The following is an 18,514-nucleotide window of genomic DNA, read 5'->3' as shown; positions in this document are numbered from 1 at the left end:
TATCTCAAAATTAAGGACACTTGTGTTTAATTGTTTCTGTGTGTGTGTATGTGTGTGTGTGTGTGCATGTGTGTTTGGTGGTTTTTTTTTTTCATATCTTAATATGGCTGGAAATCACCACTGCTGACATTGAAGGTTCAGCCCAGGAGAAACAAGCCCAAATTTGTCCAATATATGAACTAAATAGACGAAATGAAATCTGCCCAATTCAGGTCTAAGAGTGACCATTTGTGTTACCATGAGGAGTACAAGACAAAGCCATGCTCAAATTTCCTGGAGGAGTTTTCTGAAAGGTAGTTGATACATCTGCAGAAAAAAGTGTTAGTTGTGGGAAGTTAATACATTTCTAATGTAAAAATTCAATCACATTATTCCTCTAAAATACAACCTGTAGTGAGTCCTCTGTAGACACAGATGTGACTGTCTTCATCTGAAAATCAAGGCTTTCAAGATCTGACCCGACCTATCTTTCAACCTGATCTCCTATTAATCCTTTTCAGGTACCCTAAGTACATACCAAATGTCTCTTCCACTTCTCTCTTTCTTGATGTTTCTCCCTCTTAATCTCCACATGTCCAAATCCCACCTTTGTTTTCAAGGCACTTCTCCAGTGCCATATATTTTGGGAAGCTTTCCCTAATTCCTGTAGTTTACCAGGAAGATTTCCCTTCTCAGAAATCACATGAGATTTTATGTGTATCTGTCTTGGTGCACTTTTTCTTTTTGCTTTTCTTTTCTTTCTTTTTTTCTTTTTTTTTTTTGAGACGGAGTTTCCCTCTTGTTGCCCAGGCTGGAGTGCAATGGTGCAATCTTGACTCACTGTAACCTCCACCTCCCAGGTTCAAGTGGTTCTCCTACCTCAGCCTCCCGAGTAGCTGGGATTACATGTGCCCACCACACTCAACTAATTTTTTTGTATTTTTAGTAGAGACAAGGTTTCACCATGTTGGGCAGGCTGGTCTCGAACTCCTGATCTCAGGTGATCCACCCGCCTTGGCCTCCCAAAGTGCTGGGATTCCTGGCATGAGCCACTGTGCCCAGCTGCACTTATTCTTTTCTACTTTGCATGACAGTTATTAGTTTCATATCCTAGCCTTTTCTTCACTACTAGACTATGAACTCCTTGAGAACAGGATCTCTGTCAGTTTTGCCTCTGTATTGGCCATAGCATCACTCTCATTATATGCTAAAAGGTGTGAGTGGAGTGGATGAATGATAGCTGAGGGAGGTGCTGTTGGTCAGATGTTCTTCAGGGAGAATTGAGAGTAGCACAGTGCAAAGTTAGAGAGCAAATCCCCTCTGACTAAGAGAAGAAGTTTCAAAAAGAAGTGATCGTAGACTGAACTGTACACATTGACCATGTATTTGATTGATTATCTGTGTATATTTTCTTCTCTCGTGCTTTCAGGTCTTTCTTAATTTTATTTTTATAATCTATTAAAGAGAACTTAGAGGATGCATAAGGAAGTGAGAGAAAAGACATAAAGCAAATTGTTGAAAATCAAAAGACAGATTGGTTAAGAAGATGTTCAATTTACATTCAGTTGTACATGCACCCTCCATCTCTTTTTAGTTTTTCCCCTCTGGTTATAATGAGATGGAACTGGGTCTGTAATAAATCTAGGAATTACATTGTGTTATGATAAATTAGGTGATATCTTTTTTTTTACAGTGATGCTTTTGGTGTGAAATTGTACCTTTAGAATCATAGTATTTTACTTTATTTTATTTATTTTGAGACAGAGTCTCGCTCTGTCACTCAGGCTGGGGTACAGTGGTGCGATCTTGGCTCACTACAACCTCCGCCTCCTGGGTTCAAGTGATTCTCCTGCCTCAGCTTCTGGAGTAGCTTGGATTACAGGTGCATGCCACTGTACCCGGCTAATTTTTTGTATTTTTAATAGAGACCAGGTTTCGTCATGTTGGCCAGGCAGGTCTCGAACTCCTGACCTCAAGTGATCCATTCACCTCGACCTCCCGAAGTGCTGGGATTACAGGCATGAGCCACCGCACCTGGCCAAGAATCATAGTATTCTAGATTTAAATTCACAATTTTTGGAATAAATGGGATCTCAAGATTAAGTTATCCAATCACACTTTACTAATCCAGAAACTGAAACACCACAAGATCAAATAATTTAGAGTCATATAGCTTGTACATGAAGGCTCAAAGGTAAAATCCAAGTGTCCTAACTTACAGTTTAAGTGTCCTGTCTTTTACTGATACGAGAGTATTTCTTAATCTAATGACAAATGATATTCTGCATGATGTGCTTCAATAGCTGATCCTTCCTCAAAAAAGTGAACTGTCCCCTAAAGCGTTATTTGTTAAGTTTTGTTTATCACTTTAAAAATTCAGGCAAAGTTCACACAGCTGCAGACATAATTCTCCAAACAGCCTTATTTGTAGCTCATTTGAGGTATGGCCTTGGCACAAAAAGAGCAAAAGTCCTTGATTGCAGTTGAATCATTTCCATTATTGCAAGCATCTCTTCTTTTAAAAGCATACATTTATTGGATGTATATATACCACTGGCTTTGAAATGAAACTCAGTTTGCCGTAACTGAGCCTTAGAAATTCTGGCCCTACTATTTACACTCAGCCTATGATCCTTGACCACACTGCAGTTTCTGGGCACACTGCTGTCAGCGACCTTCAATCATGCCCACCAGAGCTGCTGTGGCAGCCACAGTTCCCAGGCCAAATGACAGGATGTACTCTAGGCCTTGGTGGTTAATGACCCTCTTACCATCTATGCTCAAGCATGCCTGTAACTGATTAGCTCAGAATCGCCCGGAAGCTGAAAACAAGCAGATTGTTTATGGCTCATTTTGAGGAAGAGGGCTTTTATCAGGGCTGCGTGGCAATGGAATGATACTCAAGGATCACAGCACTTCTTATCTGTGGAACTGAAGAAATGGGATGAGAGGTTGGAAATGACCTCTTGGGTTTCCTGCCAGCTTTGCTGTGAATCTAGGAAATAACAGGCTGGAGTTACTTGTAATCTTTTTAATTGAAGTATAACAGACACACAGAAAAGCACATTGATTAGAAATCACAAGGTGAGCATCCATTTAATGAAGACTAAAATTCCAAATTAGGTGTATCTGTTCTTTAGTGCCAAATTCTGATAATAAATATTTTCACCACATTGATCACAAACTACTGTTTCTATTACCTCTTTTATACCACGTGACTTTGTGATTTTTAAAGTGATATGAATGCAGTTAAAATGGTACAGGAGATATGATACTCTGATACCAGACTGTTACAATAGTGATTTAAGAATGATATTTACTTTCTCTGGAATAATTTATGTTCATGGTAGATAATTTGCAAAATATAGAGAAGCAAAGTATAGATAACAAATCTCAGAAATCAGTATTCAACATCATCATCCAGAACTAATCATGGATAACATTTTCCAGTATAACATTTGAAATGCACATATGCCACATGTACATATAAATTTAAACAGTTGTTTGAATTATATTGTGCATGTTGTTTAGTAACTTTTATTAATTAAAAAATAAAATGATACTTACAAAATTTTTGAATAGCTGTAGTATAACTGTTATATGAGCATATTGGCATCTATTTAATAAATACTGATTTTTAGTTATTTGTGTGCAGTTTTGCACTAATAAATATTGCTTGATGGTCACTGTTGTATCTGAATATTAGTTTTTTAAAATTTTTAAGTACATCCTTAGAAGTAGAATTGCTGGATTAAATAGCAAACACACTTTAATATATTTGATATATATTGCTAAATCATCCTTTAGAAAGTTGGTACCACTTAATACTCTAATTCAACATCAGTGGACGAGATTGTCTGATTCCTAGAGCCACTGCCAATGCTCTAAATTATACTTTAAATAAAAGAGACTTAAAGTTTAATGGATTAAAACTTCATCTTGACCGGGCATGGTGGCTCATGCCTGTAATTCCAGTACTTTGGGAGGCCGAGGTGGGCAGATCACCTAAGGTCAGGAGTTCAAGACCAGCCTGGCCAACATGGTCAAACCCCGTCTCTACTAAAAATTCAAAAAATTAGCCAAGCGTGGTGGCACATGCCTGTAATCCCAGTTACGCAGAAAGCTGAGACAGGAGAATCACTGTAATCATGCCTGTAATCCCAGCTATGCAGAAAGCTGAGAAAGGAGAACCTGGGAGGTGGAGGTTGCGGTGAGCCGAGATGGCGCCACTGCACTCCAGCCGGGGCAACAAGAGCGAAACTCTGCCTCAAAAAAAAAAAAAAAAAAAACCCTTCATCTTGTTTTAATATGCATTTTTTATTATCAGTATAAAAAATTTTAAATGTTTCTTGCTCATTGTTTATGTCTTTTGTCCATTTTATTGAAGTATTTTTCTTATTGCTATGTTAGATTTGTTTATAGATAGGTATGCAGGTACTGTTCCCAGTTCCTCATTGTCCTTTCAATTATTGATCACCTATAATCATAGCTGAGATCAACAGACTTACCAGAACTAATTTGACGTGAATCCTAGATACTAAAAAGAAATGTTCTTTTTCATCACTCTCAAATGACTCTTTAACATCTGCAGCTTTTTCTTTTTGATTTCAATATGTATGTGCCTAGGAAAAACCCATGAATAGCACAATAAGTTGGTGACTATGATCTTTCCTCAAATGGAAAGGAGTAAAACAGCACAATTGTGCTTTTACATTCTTCATTGGAATGATTTGGAATACAATTAATTGCCTTATTTTTAACTTTTCTGCTACTGTTTATAGTGGCTATTAACTAATATTTGCTTAGTGATTAATGTTATTCAGAATTAGTATGGAAGCTGATTGGATTTACATGTTTCTAGAACTACGAGTGGATTTAACTGATTTGCCAGGAAAGAACTTAAACATATTTTAAGTTTTAATTCAATATTTATTCTAGGTGACAGATTCTTTTTAAGGACTGGCATTGAAAAGTCTGTTTATTGTGGCTTGTAATAAGACATTTCAAAATTAATGTAGGCCCTTTGAAGGGTATTTATTTCAACATTTACCTAGTAAATATTTGGATACTATCTGAGTGCCTGAAGCAAACCGTAATAGCTAAAGTCAATGTCACAGGGATTTGCTTAGTTCATCAGTTTCAATGCAAACATGTCATCCTGTAACATGATAGTATTTATTGAGAAAATTAGATACTTCACATTTGATGAATATCTTAGAAGCTAGTGGAAAGTGTTTTATAATCCGGAAAAAAGCCAAAATTATTTTACTCATTAAAATTGTTCTAATAAATTGTTTTCCTTCATTTAATTTATTCTGCTTTAAGTCATTTAAAAAGACTGTGTGCAGCCTACATGTAATATGATTATGATGTTCTGGTCGGGTCAGCTAAAAGAACAACATTTTTTCTCAATGAACAGGAGTTAATGAAGTGTGAGCAATGCATAAGCGTGAAAATGGAAGCTGTAGCAAGGGGCTGGAATGTAAGGCAAGTTTGAGGTCATGGAAATTCCCGTTTCAGGCAGACAATGTGTTGTTTAACTGAAGATAGCTTTTTTGAGAATGATGGCTGTTCATATGGATTGTTAGTAATAAGAACTTTAATGTGAGAAGGGGAATTGGCTACATATAGATAGTCAAAATGTTTTGTCTTGTAAGTCGTTGCCTCTTTGATGGAACTGTGACCACTCCCTCCTTGGACCGTGTGCTCTTGATTACAGCACTATGACTATAATGCTGGAAAAGATGAGAGGAAGCTTCATGGCTAGATGACCCTGGATACCCTCATGAAGGACACTTTCACATTTTTATGACTTCAGGAACTGACTTGATATTCCTGTGACTCGGTTACCCCAAATGCAAGGCAAGAAAGTTGAACCTGATGCTTACTAGAACCCCTTCTGTATCTTCCTATGTACTATGACTTCTAAGAAAACAAGATAGATCAGATGAGGATAATCCTATCCTCTTACCACCAATTCCTCCAATGCACTGAGCCAAAATCTGCTTCTCTTCCTCTCTCAATAGTAAATAATAATAATGATAACAATAATAATAAATCTCTATGTAAGAACAATGCAAGTTCAACATTTTTGACTAAATCCCTGGATCTGACCTATTTCCGCTAGCCTTCATAAGGACTTCATGCTTGGAACTATCCTTTTTTTCTGTTTTCCTATGTCATCAGTTTCTCCATAGCCACCACGTGATTGCCATCAGCACAGCCTTCATGCATGCATCTTAAAACAAGTAAACCACCTTTCACCTCACTTCTCCGTTACCACAACTTAAAAAGAAGAAGAAGAAAAAAAAAAAAAACTTGTCTACACTTGCTGGCTTTACCTGCTGGCTAGCTTTACCCCCAATTTTCTCCACAATCCATGCTAATTGGATTTCCATCTACACCACTGCTCTGAAATGTCACTCATAAATGTTTCCAGTTGTCTACCCCTTGCTAGAGCCAATGGTCAGTTACTGGCCATCAGCTTTCTTGGCCTGTTAGCACTATTTCACTTTCATGACCTTGCATCTTGAAACCCTTTCTTCTCCAGACATTTCTTCCCACCCTCGCTAGATTTCCTTCTATTTAACTGGACATTTTCTCTCTATTTGTTTGTTGGTTCTTTGACTGGCCCTCTGAAAGTTGGTGTCCTTCAGCATCTTGGTTGCTAAGGATATGGGTAGAATTTTAACACACAGAGATAAACATGAGGAGGACTGGGAAAAGAAGAAAAGGTAAACATGCTGTAAATCTTACAGAGAAGTTCTGTTTGGCTGGAGAGGAGGTGAAGAGGAGATTCATTTATGGGAGAAGTTTGAAACATCCCATCAAATATATAAGATTTACACTGAGACTAGAAGAAGATTTCTAGGGACTGTGAACTTTCCATTTTTTCTAGTCCTGAAATCAGTGAAATGTCAAAAGATGCTTACTCAGTGGGGTTGGTCAGTTAACTAGGCCTCATATTGAAGGTAGCAATATCCTTTTATTGGAAACCCACATCTTAGCAATGTCCCAGTAGAGAAACCAAGACTGTGTCATCATAGATTTTTTCTTCTTGGTATGGTTTATTCAGAAGACACTCTAGGGTCTGGAGCTGAGCCTATAGATATTTAATCCTTAATTACCCAAGTATTTATTGAACTTTACCATGTGAAAGGCACAGATAGGTGAGGCTCTCTTGGATTAATATACCAGAATTTTTGTTAGAATGAGCTAAGGTGCCGCCTGTGAAAATACTGACCTCACTCATATAAAACATTTTTTCTGTGGTTTTTCAGTGTACTACCAAACATGGGATGGTATCGATAGCAAACGTTTAGTTGGTTGTAATAGGATATTAAATGTGATTGTTCTCTTTTTTGTATTTGCAATTTTTTTGTAAAAGTCTTATAAATTATATATTGGTTTGAATTTCTTGTGTGCAAAAGCATCTATATGTAGAGAAGCTGAAAATTATTGCCGAAGAAGAAAACACATTATGTAGATCAACAAATAGCTGTCATTTTACCGAGAAAAATCGGTAACTCTTTTAAGTGATAAGCCTTCTCCCTCAGGAAATCGCAACTTCAGCTTTTAGGAAACAGCTCTGTCTACTCGTCCACCTTCATCCAGGAATGAACTGAGCAAGCAGTAGTTTTTCAAAGAAAACAAATCTCCTACATAGATTTACTCTATGTATTTTTGCCAGCTCCTTAGTAACTGTTCAGTTTTGATATCACTAAAGATTTAGAGTAAGCCTGATTTACCAAATCTAGCAGTTTTAAGACCCAATAACTTTTGTGGGAGACAAAGGGTGTGGGGTAACTTCCCACCAACATATGTGTGTGTCCAGGGGGCTGAGTCCACCCTCATGTGACCAGACCGCTTGGCCACTTATAGAGTGGCTGTCGAGGTTAAGGTATCTGGAATCTAGTAATATTTCAGAGGATGGGACAAGGTAGATTTCCCAGGCTTCTTTTCAGTACTTGTTACTTAGCTATTGTTTTTCATTTTAATTATTGTTGAAATTCAACCAGATTGATTTTATTTTGAAGGTCCTTTCAAATGTTTGCTAACAATGTATTCTCTTTAAATGTTTGGAGAAAATTATAAGTGATTTATAAGATTTATCTTATAAAATTTTTATAAACAATGTAATTCAGACATGAGATTATACTATCCCATTCATCTTAACCTTTCTTGATTTGAGAAAAATTATATAAACATTTTAAGCATAAATTTGACTTAAAATTAAATTAAAAAGTTGTATATTTTATTGTTATCATATGAAAAATCTAACTCATGCTATTTGTGGATGAAGCCTAATTTTTATATTTAAATTGTTATAACTATGTACATTTTTTTCTTAGGTCTTCTTTTCAAATTCATTTTTCAACTTAAATATTGAGATGCTGATGCACACAACTTGTACTTGCATGTATTATGTAAATAATGAAATGCAATATTTTATCTTTTTATTGGATTCCAGATATAGATAAATAATTTTTGTATACTTAAGAATAAAGAAAATATTCCCCCCCAGAAATACTTCATAAATAATTTTAAAACTTTTTAACGAACACTTAAGAGGAGGAGAAGAAGAATCAAAAGTATATGCTTAGTAGGTAAATGTGCCAGCACCATATGTAGAATTTTATGGCTGGAGGGGAGGTGAAGAGGAGATTCGTTTTAAATTAATATACCAGAGAGTGACACAGAATCACTAGTTATTCAAAAGCAAAACTCTAGAGAAATTGAGATAACATAGAATGGTAGCATTTATCTGAGAATTTGTCATAGGGAGATTTTGAGTGACTAATTCTTTGTTTTTATTTTGTTTGGGGTGTATGAGGGAAATACTTAGTAAAAGGGGTATGGAGGTCATGCAAGGATTTGTCTCTTTGCTTCTGTGGAAGAAACATGGAGCTCAAGTTCCTGGGTACATGAAGACTGCTTGATAATTCATATTCCTCCCACTTCTTCCTTCTCCTTTCTCTTCCTTCACTTTTTATTTAGTAAATATTTCTTGAATGCCTTGAGTCTGAAAGATGGATTAGACTCAAATCATGTCTGCAAAAGGTATGAATCTGATAGTAGAGACATCTACAAAAATACACAAATAATAGGTAAATGTAAGAATAAGGCTGGGTGTGGTGGCTCACACCTGTAATCCCAGCACTTTGGGAGGCCAAGGCAGGAGGATTACTTGAGCCCAAGAGTTTGAGACCAGGCTGGGCAACAAAACAAGACCCCATCTCTACAAAAAAAAAAAAAAGAAAGAAAATTAAAAAAGAATAAACTACATGTGAATGTAGTGGAGAGAATTATTGTCCATCCAGCGACTGTCAAAGAAAGCTTTACCCAGGAAGTGGCATTTGAGCTGGGTCTGGAAAGGTGGAAGGAGAAGGCACTCTAGGCAGAAGGAACATCATGAGCAAAAGCACAGATGAGGGGCTGTCTGACTTTTTCAGGGAGCCATGAATAGACAGGGCTAGAGCTCTGGCTTGGAGTCTGATTGTTGACGAATGACATAGTAAGAAATTTGGACTATAGATAGTAAGTCCCAAATTATTTGAAGTAGAGGGATTTCACTATCAGATTTTTTTCATAAACTTTTTTTATATTGCATTCTTTTTTCCATTTTTTTATTTCCATAGGATTTTGGGGAACAGGTGGTGTTCAGTTACATGAGTAAGTTATTTAGTGGTGATTTGTGAGATTTTGGTGCAACCATCACCTGAGCAGTATACACTGAACCCAATTTGTAGTCTTTTATCCCTTACCTACTTCCCATCCTTACCCCCTGAGTCCCTGAAGTTTATTGTGTCATCCTTATGCCTTTGCATCCTCATAGCTCAGCTCCCACTTATGAGTGAGAACATACAATGTTTTGTTTTCCATTCCTGAGTTACTTCTCTTAGAATAATAGTCACCAATCCCATACAGGTTGGTGTGAATGCCATGCATTCATTCCTTTTTATGGCTGAGTAGTATTCCATCATATATATGTATGTATATACCACATATATATATATTCCATCATATATATGTATGTATATGCCACATGTATATATCCATATTCCATCATATATATATGTGTGTATATATGTGTGTGTGTGTGTGTGTGTATATATATATATATACACACCACAGTTTCTTTATCCACTCGTTGATTGATGGACATTTAGATCTGTTCCACATTGAAATTATATCAAGTACTCTCTCAGACCACAGTGGAATAAAATTGGAAATCAATTCCAAAAGGAACCTTCAAAACCATGCAAATACATGGAAATTATATAGCACACTCCTGAATGATCATTGGGCCAACAATGAAATCAAGATGGAAATTTAAAAATTCTTCTACCTGAACGACAATAGTGACACAAGCTATGAAAATCTCTGGGATACAGCAAAGGCGGTACTAAGGGGAAAGTTCATAGCCTTAAATGTCCACATCAAAAAGTGTTTCATAAACTTTTATAAATTATAGATTATTGGAGGGGAGACTGATGAAAGACCAAATAGGAGGCTATTGCAGTAGCCCAGAATGGTTTACTTATATCTTGGTAACAGAGGCAGATATGATGACCAAATACGTGTAGGACATTTCATATAATTAAGGAAATGACAGAATAGGCCAAACAATATTTTTTTGAATCCTGTATTGACTAAGACTTTGACTAGAGAGAGTCTTCAGTTAGAAAGTAATTCTATAGGAGCAGTACTGAAAAAAAAATCTCTATGTCGTTACTGATTAACATAACACTGACTGTTGTAAAAGAGAAACTCCTAAATCTCAGTGGCTTAAAACAATAAAAGTTTATTTCTCATATAAAGTTCAAGAGGTGTTGGGTGATGGGGAGGAGTACTCTTCCTCTGACGTCTTCAACAAATGGCTTCAAAATCCTCCTGGGTATTGACACTCATCAACCAGTTGATAGACAAGGAAAGGGAGGGAGGGTAATGGATTCCATGGAAGGTTTTTATGGGCCAAGCCTGGGAATGGCATGTATCACCTGCATCCATATTCTGATGTATAACTCAGTCTTGTGGTCACATTAATGCAAAAGGACTGAACAATATTGTCTCACTTTTTGCCCAGGATGACAGGGAAACAAGTTTAGTGAACAACCAGATGGAATCTGAAATGCTGTCATTGCCTTGGGGAGACTCGGTTTTTTAATGGAGACAGTGCTCTCCTGGAGACCTTGGACATCAGTGCCTTCTGGCATAAGCAGTTTTTAGGCAGGGAGTCCTCCAATTATGGAGAGCCAGCCTACCAGAAACCAAGAGCCCAAACTCTTTACGCAACAACAGGCTTTTCCTAGAAGATGGAATTAGCTGAACAGCCCCTGCAGTCTACTGTTTGCACCTAAGGAAGCTGCTTTACATTTTGATTTTGTTGTATATCAGAAGACTGGCTGACACAAAACAAGAAGGCTTATCTTATAGCCTCTGATATGTCCTGTTACTTCCTGCTGCCAGGAAAATGCTTAAGACAGCATGTTAATTTAGGAGGGATTTTCAAAACTATACGGTATGACTCAAATTTTATATTTTTCAAATATAGACATCTTTGTTATTATAAATATGTACATTTAGACTGTTACTTCAGTGAAGCCTCAGATATACCCATTTTTGCTCTGCACTTGTCCCTGGTGACTTCCAGAGTATCTGGCATACCATTGTCTCAATAAAAATAGGCTGAATAGATAAATATATATGTGAATGCACAAAGACTGGAAATGTACATCAGATGTTATTTAAATATATTTTAAGTTACAAAATATCCCCTTGCTTAAACCTGTCGACTTCAGATTCAGAAGAGTCATACCGTGATGAGATTTACTGAGCAGCTATCAGCCTAGCCCTTCCAGCACAGCCCTATTTGTTGACTCACTCCCTAGGAAGGATCAGAAACAAAGTTACTGAAGTGTAGCCAAGAATTTAGTTATTAAGAATATTTATTCTGGCTGGGTTCAGTGACTCATGTCTATAATCCCAGCACTTTGGGAGGCCGAGGTTGGAGAATCACTTGAGCTCAGGATTTCAAGAACTGAGCAACAGGAGTTCACCCTGGGCAACATAGTAAGGCCTGTTCTCCACTAAAAATTAAAAAAAAAAAAAAGTTAGGTGTGGTGGTGTGTGCCTGTAGTCACAGTTACTTGGGAGGCTGAGGCAGGAGGATCACTTGAGCCTGGGAGGTCAAGACTACAGTGAGCTATGATTGCCCTACTATTCTCCAGCCTGGGTAACAGTGAGACCCTGTCTCAAAAAAAAAAAAAAAAAAAAAGTTTATTCTAAAATGATTTCTTAAATGTTTATTTAAATTTAAATGCTTAAATAGATATATAGTTAAGTATAAACATTCTCAAATCTAACTCATGGTGAAAAGAGCAAGGAGGCTCTTCAAATTCATTTCTCGCAGAAAGTAACAAATTGGCTGCTCTCTTTAAAGCCTCTGCCTATCTGCTCCCCATCTTTTTCTGCATATCCTGGGGTAACAGCTTATGTTCCAGAGGCAGCTCGGAAGTCTCTAATGGTCACCATACAGGCTTCACTCACTCCAAAAATAAACATTGTAATTACAACCACCACCACAGTGGGCGTGAGGAGACTTTCACACATTTATATGTCACAGAACATCAAGGGTGGAAATTGTATTGAAGCACTGTTATCTGAATCTCTAACAAAGCACACACCTGGTATTTAGTAACACATTAATCATGCAAAGGGAAGCTTTTAAACTTAAAAAATGGAAGTCTGAAAGCAACTGCAGGTATGATTTTTAAAAATAACTTTGGTAGCAAGCGGTGTCTGATGTGGTTGTCCTATTTAAAGAGAACCATTAGTACTGTCTGTAATGCAATAGCCAAACGTATTGACCAGAGCAAAAGTTTAGCAAAATGCCTTTTTCCCAAGAACATTTGCTTTTGCCTGTGGAATGCTGACAAGTAGGATGCTGTGCTCAGGCATGGAAATGATAAATACTGTCTCTTCATGTCAGATTACTGATCACATTAAATAATCCACAGCCCTTGCTATCTGCAGACTCCAGCACTAACTAACTAGAAGCAGCTTATCATTTACCAGTAGTTGTGTACACCCCATGGCACCATTTTCATAGATTATGAAGCCATTTGTAAAAAGTAGAACTCCTAAATTTAAACTAAAACATCTCAGGAGCCATTTGTTGGGGAATGTGGTTTGGGCCCAAATACACTGGCTTAATAGAAGAATAGCTTTATATAACTTCTCTGATTGATTAAAAGTCTTAATGATGAAAGCTCAGAGCTAATCTTAAACAAAATTATTCAATAGAATTTGCTCATGGCCCTCAACTACTGCCTGCTCCACATTCTTGCTCCCAATTCTGATGTTATCCCATTCTGGTATTCTGTTCCCACCAGTTCATTATGCCAGGGTCTTGCTTCCTGTTCAAGTCCTTGGTGGTGGTTAGGATATGGAGTTTGTAAATGTAAGATTGAATCAGTGGGGAATAACGTTATCTCACTGATGCAAGATACTATTATTAATTCCATTTTACAGAAGATAAAACCAAGCCACAGAGAGATTGAGTAACTTGCCCAAGGTTATGTCACTAGTTAGAAGGTAAGCTGGGATTCCAACAAAGGAAGTCTGGGTTTATTTCAAAACGCAATGCTTATACATAATAATAGTGCCAGGCTTATTATTAATCAGTAAATATTCACTGGACACCTATTAAGTCCACGACTTACAAGTGTGGATATTCTACATTTAGTGATAAAGCAGTGGGTAATGTATGGGCCACAGTTTTAGTTATTAGAGCTAGTTCTTAAGAGTGAAAAATTATTTCTTTATTCAATTTGAATTTGTTAAATGGGGATATTCTGTGCAAGGAACTTTGAGACTAGAGCATTAAATAAATGATGCTTGCATCAAGGATTGTGATGGGAGGGGATTTGTCATGTACATTAGTTTATGATATAGGACACAGAATTAGGAGATGCCAAAAGACAGGTAATTATAAGGATCCATGGATACAGGGGGAAAGATTAGGGTTGAAGCAAATAAGGAAGGGTTTGAGAGCAAAGAGATAGTATTGCAGCTTAATTTTGAAGGATGGATAGCATATGAACACAACTGATATAAAATGACTGTGATGAAGGATTAAGAAGGCTAGGGGAGAATTTTAGAGGAAAGAGTTTGATTATCTTTGATTTTGCCTGTTGAAGGGTAGAAGTAAGCTAAGGTTGGAAAAGTAAGTTAGCATATCATGGAGGACCTCGAGGAGAAAGAAAATCCAACTACCATGTATTAAGTACCTAATATATGCCAGGCATTTTATATACTTTTCTCATGTAATTCTCACAACCACAAATAGTAGTTGTGTTTTGTGTTCTACCAAGAAAAGAAACAAAAGCCTGGACAGACTGAGGAACTTTCTCAAAGTCATTTAGTAATCCACTAGGATTTGAATTCATGCTTGTGTGGATCCTAGCATCTGTTCTTTCCATTTCATCATGACCTCTTTCTTTTGAAGGCAATAAGAAACCCTTAAAGACTTCTTAGGACAGTACATGGTATCTGGCACCAGTTTGCCTGAGTTAGAAGGAGGCAAGGCTAAGGGATATGAGTGTCCTTAGCAGGAAACTGGCAGGTGAATGAAGAGTAAGAAATCATCTTCAGGACATGGCAGAAATGAACTCTAAAAGGTTTAGTACTATTTAGATTTTGTAGTATAGTAGGATGTATTGATAAACACAAACAGGGTAACCTGTTTTTAACTCTGAAGTTTGTGGTTGAACCTGCTTTCCTGTCATCTAGCTGCCAGTCTTTGTAATTCTGGACCCTTCCTTGAGCCATTTTTATCACTTTCACCTTCATATGAGGGTTTGCATTAAAAACAGAACCATATTGCACTAAATAAAATCCACCCATAGCTCCTGGCATCAACCTTTCAATGGAATGTGTGTTTTAATGGTTGTCAGTTTTCCCTCCATTGGGATTCCTATGGCGTTAATTCCCAAACACAGAACGGTATTTAAATGCTCTCCTAAGGTCCAGAGGAAAAAAAGTGAAGGAGCTATTCTCAGGCACTTGTGGGGCAAGTAAGGAGGATGAAGAGTGGAGGAAGAAGGTGTTTTAGTTTTGTTTTTAATTCCAGTTCAATCTTACTTTGTATATTCCTCTATAGTCAGAAACAATGGAATGTCCTAGAGCCCTTTAGTGAAGAATGAAGCAAGATAAGAAATTAGTAAATGAGTATAGTGTACACTATCTGGGTGATGGAATAGCCTGGAAGCCCTGACTTCACCACTAAGCAATCTACACATAACAAAATTGTACATGTGCCCCATAAATTTGTACAAATAAGAAAATAAAAAATAAATAAAGCAGGTGCTTAGTGTTCCATAAAGGTCATCAAAATAAAACAAACCATGTAGCATGGTTCCTGCCATTTCTATACTCCCCTTCCCTATATTTTTAGCATGTTAGTACATGGGTTTTGATTTACAATCAATTTTTTATTCTCAGAAGTTCTTTTAAGCATCTTTATCCATTTATGAGACAGTGGAACAAAATAGCACCAAATTATAGTTTGATGTGAAATCTTTGGTTTTCCCTTGGAGATACACTTCATTCGAGTAAGTAGAGATCATAGGCTAAATTAGGCCATTGTGACTAAGATACAGTGCATCATCCAATTCTATAAAAACAGAGTGCTTGACTGAAAGCAATGATAGCTATTAAAAAATATAAAATTGGAATTAGAAGAATTGAGAGGAAACCACTTCCAGGAGTCACTGACTATTTAAAATATCCAGGAAATTTTTCTCTTAAGTCTGGCTTGGCATTCATGATTCTTCTAATTCCCAGAAAATTAATATGTGAACTTGAACGGATTTTGTGATCACTTGTAACCTCCAGAAAATTGGCGGACTTGGATGCTGAATGCATTGTAAGCTTCCTTACAGATCTCCAGCCTAGTTTTAAAATAGATGCTTTGCATTAGGATTTAGCCAAATACTTCGTTAATAGTGGCAAATGTTGTATTTTTCTGTGACTACTATTTTTTTTTCCTTAACATCCAGGCATTTTAGGAACCTCCAAAGCAGTGAATTTCAACAAATTGGGTGCTTCATCTGCTTCAGGACAAACACTTTCAGCTATTTGTTACAAAACCTGGGTATTTTTCAGGCATTGGATTAGTCTTAAGAAAAATGTTTTCATCAAAATGTTCTAAATTCTTACATTAAGTGTCTTAGATAAAGCCATTTTTAGAAGAAAATTCTTGATGTTGGCAAAAGGTAGATACCTGGAAAAATTTCCTGTCTTTTCTCCTTAAACTGGAACTATACCAATTAGAGTTTCCCAGCGTAACACACTTCATTCATATGGTACCATGTGACTTTAAAAAATCTCAGATGACGAGAAGGAATCTTCATTTTCCAAGCTTGAAAAACAAGAAGTTAGTCAGACTTGTGAACAAGAAGACACTGTGGAGAGTGGTTAGGGCTCTTGCAGGATACTAAAAAATGATCAAGAATTATGTTTGGTTTTGTCCCCTAGCCATCATGCAGTGTTTCTTTCATATCCTAAAGATGCTACCAGGATGAGGAGGCCAGCATTCGTGGGAATTGGTGGCAAGTGTTGGAGGGGTGGGTGGCAGAGGCAGTGAAGGTGAGTGATGCTGGCGTTGGAGGAAAGCAGTGAAGTAAGGATAATGACAAATAGGAAAATGTCACTTTTTCCAATTCTGGTAGTTCAGAGCTTTCTCATTCTCTTAGTCTTTGCTTCTTTCACCATGACACTATGGCTGGAGCCCAGGAAGGAAAAGGATCCCCATGACTAAAACCAGTGACCTTTCCAATTTTCCATCCTCCAGTGTTGTATGACAATGCTGTGCTTTTGATACCTCTCGGTGCAGCTGTGCTGGGAGTCTCTTACTCATGAGACTATCTTCCTGGAATACAGTTGCCAAACACATACTGACCCACCTACTGTCTGCATCAGCTATTAAAACACAGACCTGCTACTCAAGAAACTCACCATCAGTAGGGGAGACAGACATGAAGACAGATAATTATACTATTATGGCACAGGTTGGGGGAAGTAGGAGAATCCTCACAAGGCTATGGGAGTGTAGGGTAGGAAGCTACTGCAGCCTCACCAACTGCCATGAAGCAGGGACTGCCTGTCTGAGTCTGCATCCTCTGTGTAGTCCAGCCTTTGTCTAAAGGAAGTCCTGGGTATCAGAAAATGATCGAGAAAGGGGATCAGCAAAGCAGAGATTTAACAACTGAATGTACAATGTTGGTAGCTAATAAGAATGCCCTCCTTCCCCAATCCACTAAGCTGAAAGGATAGCAGGGAAAGAAGGAAGCCATTGTGTTTCACTGTAAAGTCTCCTCAGCAAAAATCAGTTGTTTTCTCGCTGAACTAAATCTGGCTTTTGTTTAGTGAGTTTCCTTTGTGTGTGTGCCTTCTCTGGTCTTTTCCCAGCATCCTTTTATTATCAGGGACAGAACACTGTGACCTTTTGCGCAGGGTTAAAATAACAGCAGTAGCTGAAATGAAGGTTGAATTTTGCTGACTGGTTTACATCCTCCCTATAACTTGCTGTCTGCATCAGCAAAGCAGGTCGCCCTTCTGCCCACAGCTTCCAGTAATGTTGAAGCTGTCAAGGCAATTAAGTCTTTTTACCCTTTTAAGTTGATGTAACATTTCACCCTTTCCATTCCTGGACATCTACTCACTCCCATTCTGTTACCAAGTTGTTTCCAGCATTCCTGGGACCATTTACTCCCCATTCCATTTTACAACTTTGACCCATATTTGAAACTTCACAAGTTTAACCCATTGTAGTTCCTATGGCTTCCGTAGTTTTCGCCTTGTTTTAGGACAGGAATAAATACTTTTATTCCTTGGGGGCGGGGATAGGTATCATCAATACCTGGTATCTTCACTATGAGGTGAATAAATTGATCTATAGGAAACAATAAATGCTACTTACACGAGAGAGGGTAGCTTATCCCCATCTTACTGAAAAAGAACTAGGACTTCAACAAGCCAGTTGACAGATAGGGACTAAAATCTATGTACAAGGCATTTTGCTGGCCCCTTAGGGTTATGTGTTGAGGAATATATATTCTCCTAAATTATATTAAGTCAGGAATGACTGAGGTGATATTGGGATTTTCCATGCTCTTCCTTACAGTCTTTATTTTATTTTATTTTTTGGTGTTGGGGAGACCCTTTCAATCCTGTTTTTTATCTGCCCCAGCTATTCCTCTGTCTCTAATATTCCCATCTTTCACAAATAGACCCAGATTTTTTTTCTCATTAATGAGTACTTCAAGTTGAAGGTCAGCTATGCCTTAGTTCTGGGAATGACTGAGGAAGAGAGGGAAGAAGGAAGGGAAACTCAAGAACTCACCCATCTTCCTTACACTCTGAAAATAGATTCCTACTGCTGAATATGTTACCTATTCCTTCATCTTTCCTTTCACTCCCATGTTTCGATGGAAAAATGCTCTTAGTAGCCAAAGTTTGGGTTTTTATTGAA

General features: G+C 37.4%; 1 protein-coding gene across 2 annotated transcripts in view, besides 1 other annotated feature; it reads left to right on the top strand.

Annotated features, from left to right (window-relative positions):
• P3H2 (prolyl 3-hydroxylase 2) overlaps window positions 1-18,514 on the top strand; it is a 165,551-nt gene that overhangs the window by 46,032 nt on the left and 101,005 nt on the right. The gene's annotated exons all lie outside the window — the stretch shown is intronic.
• Window positions 11,713-12,007: a silencer, noted in NCBI's record as "tiled region #7173; HepG2 Repressive non-DNase unmatched - State 24:Quies". NCBI's record gives its function as "represses a minimal TATA promoter and a strong SV40 promoter by Sharpr-MPRA in HepG2 cells {active_cell/tissue: HepG2}" and the evidence as "EXISTENCE:reporter gene assay evidence [ECO:0000049][PMID:27701403]".

This window comes from Homo sapiens, chromosome 3, assembly GCF_000001405.40.
Source record: "Homo sapiens chromosome 3, GRCh38.p14 Primary Assembly".
Classification (NCBI taxonomy): domain Eukaryota; kingdom Metazoa; phylum Chordata; class Mammalia; order Primates; family Hominidae; genus Homo; species Homo sapiens.
The sequence above is the reverse complement of the archived record's forward strand: the minus strand, read 5'-3'. Positions and strand labels throughout refer to the sequence as shown.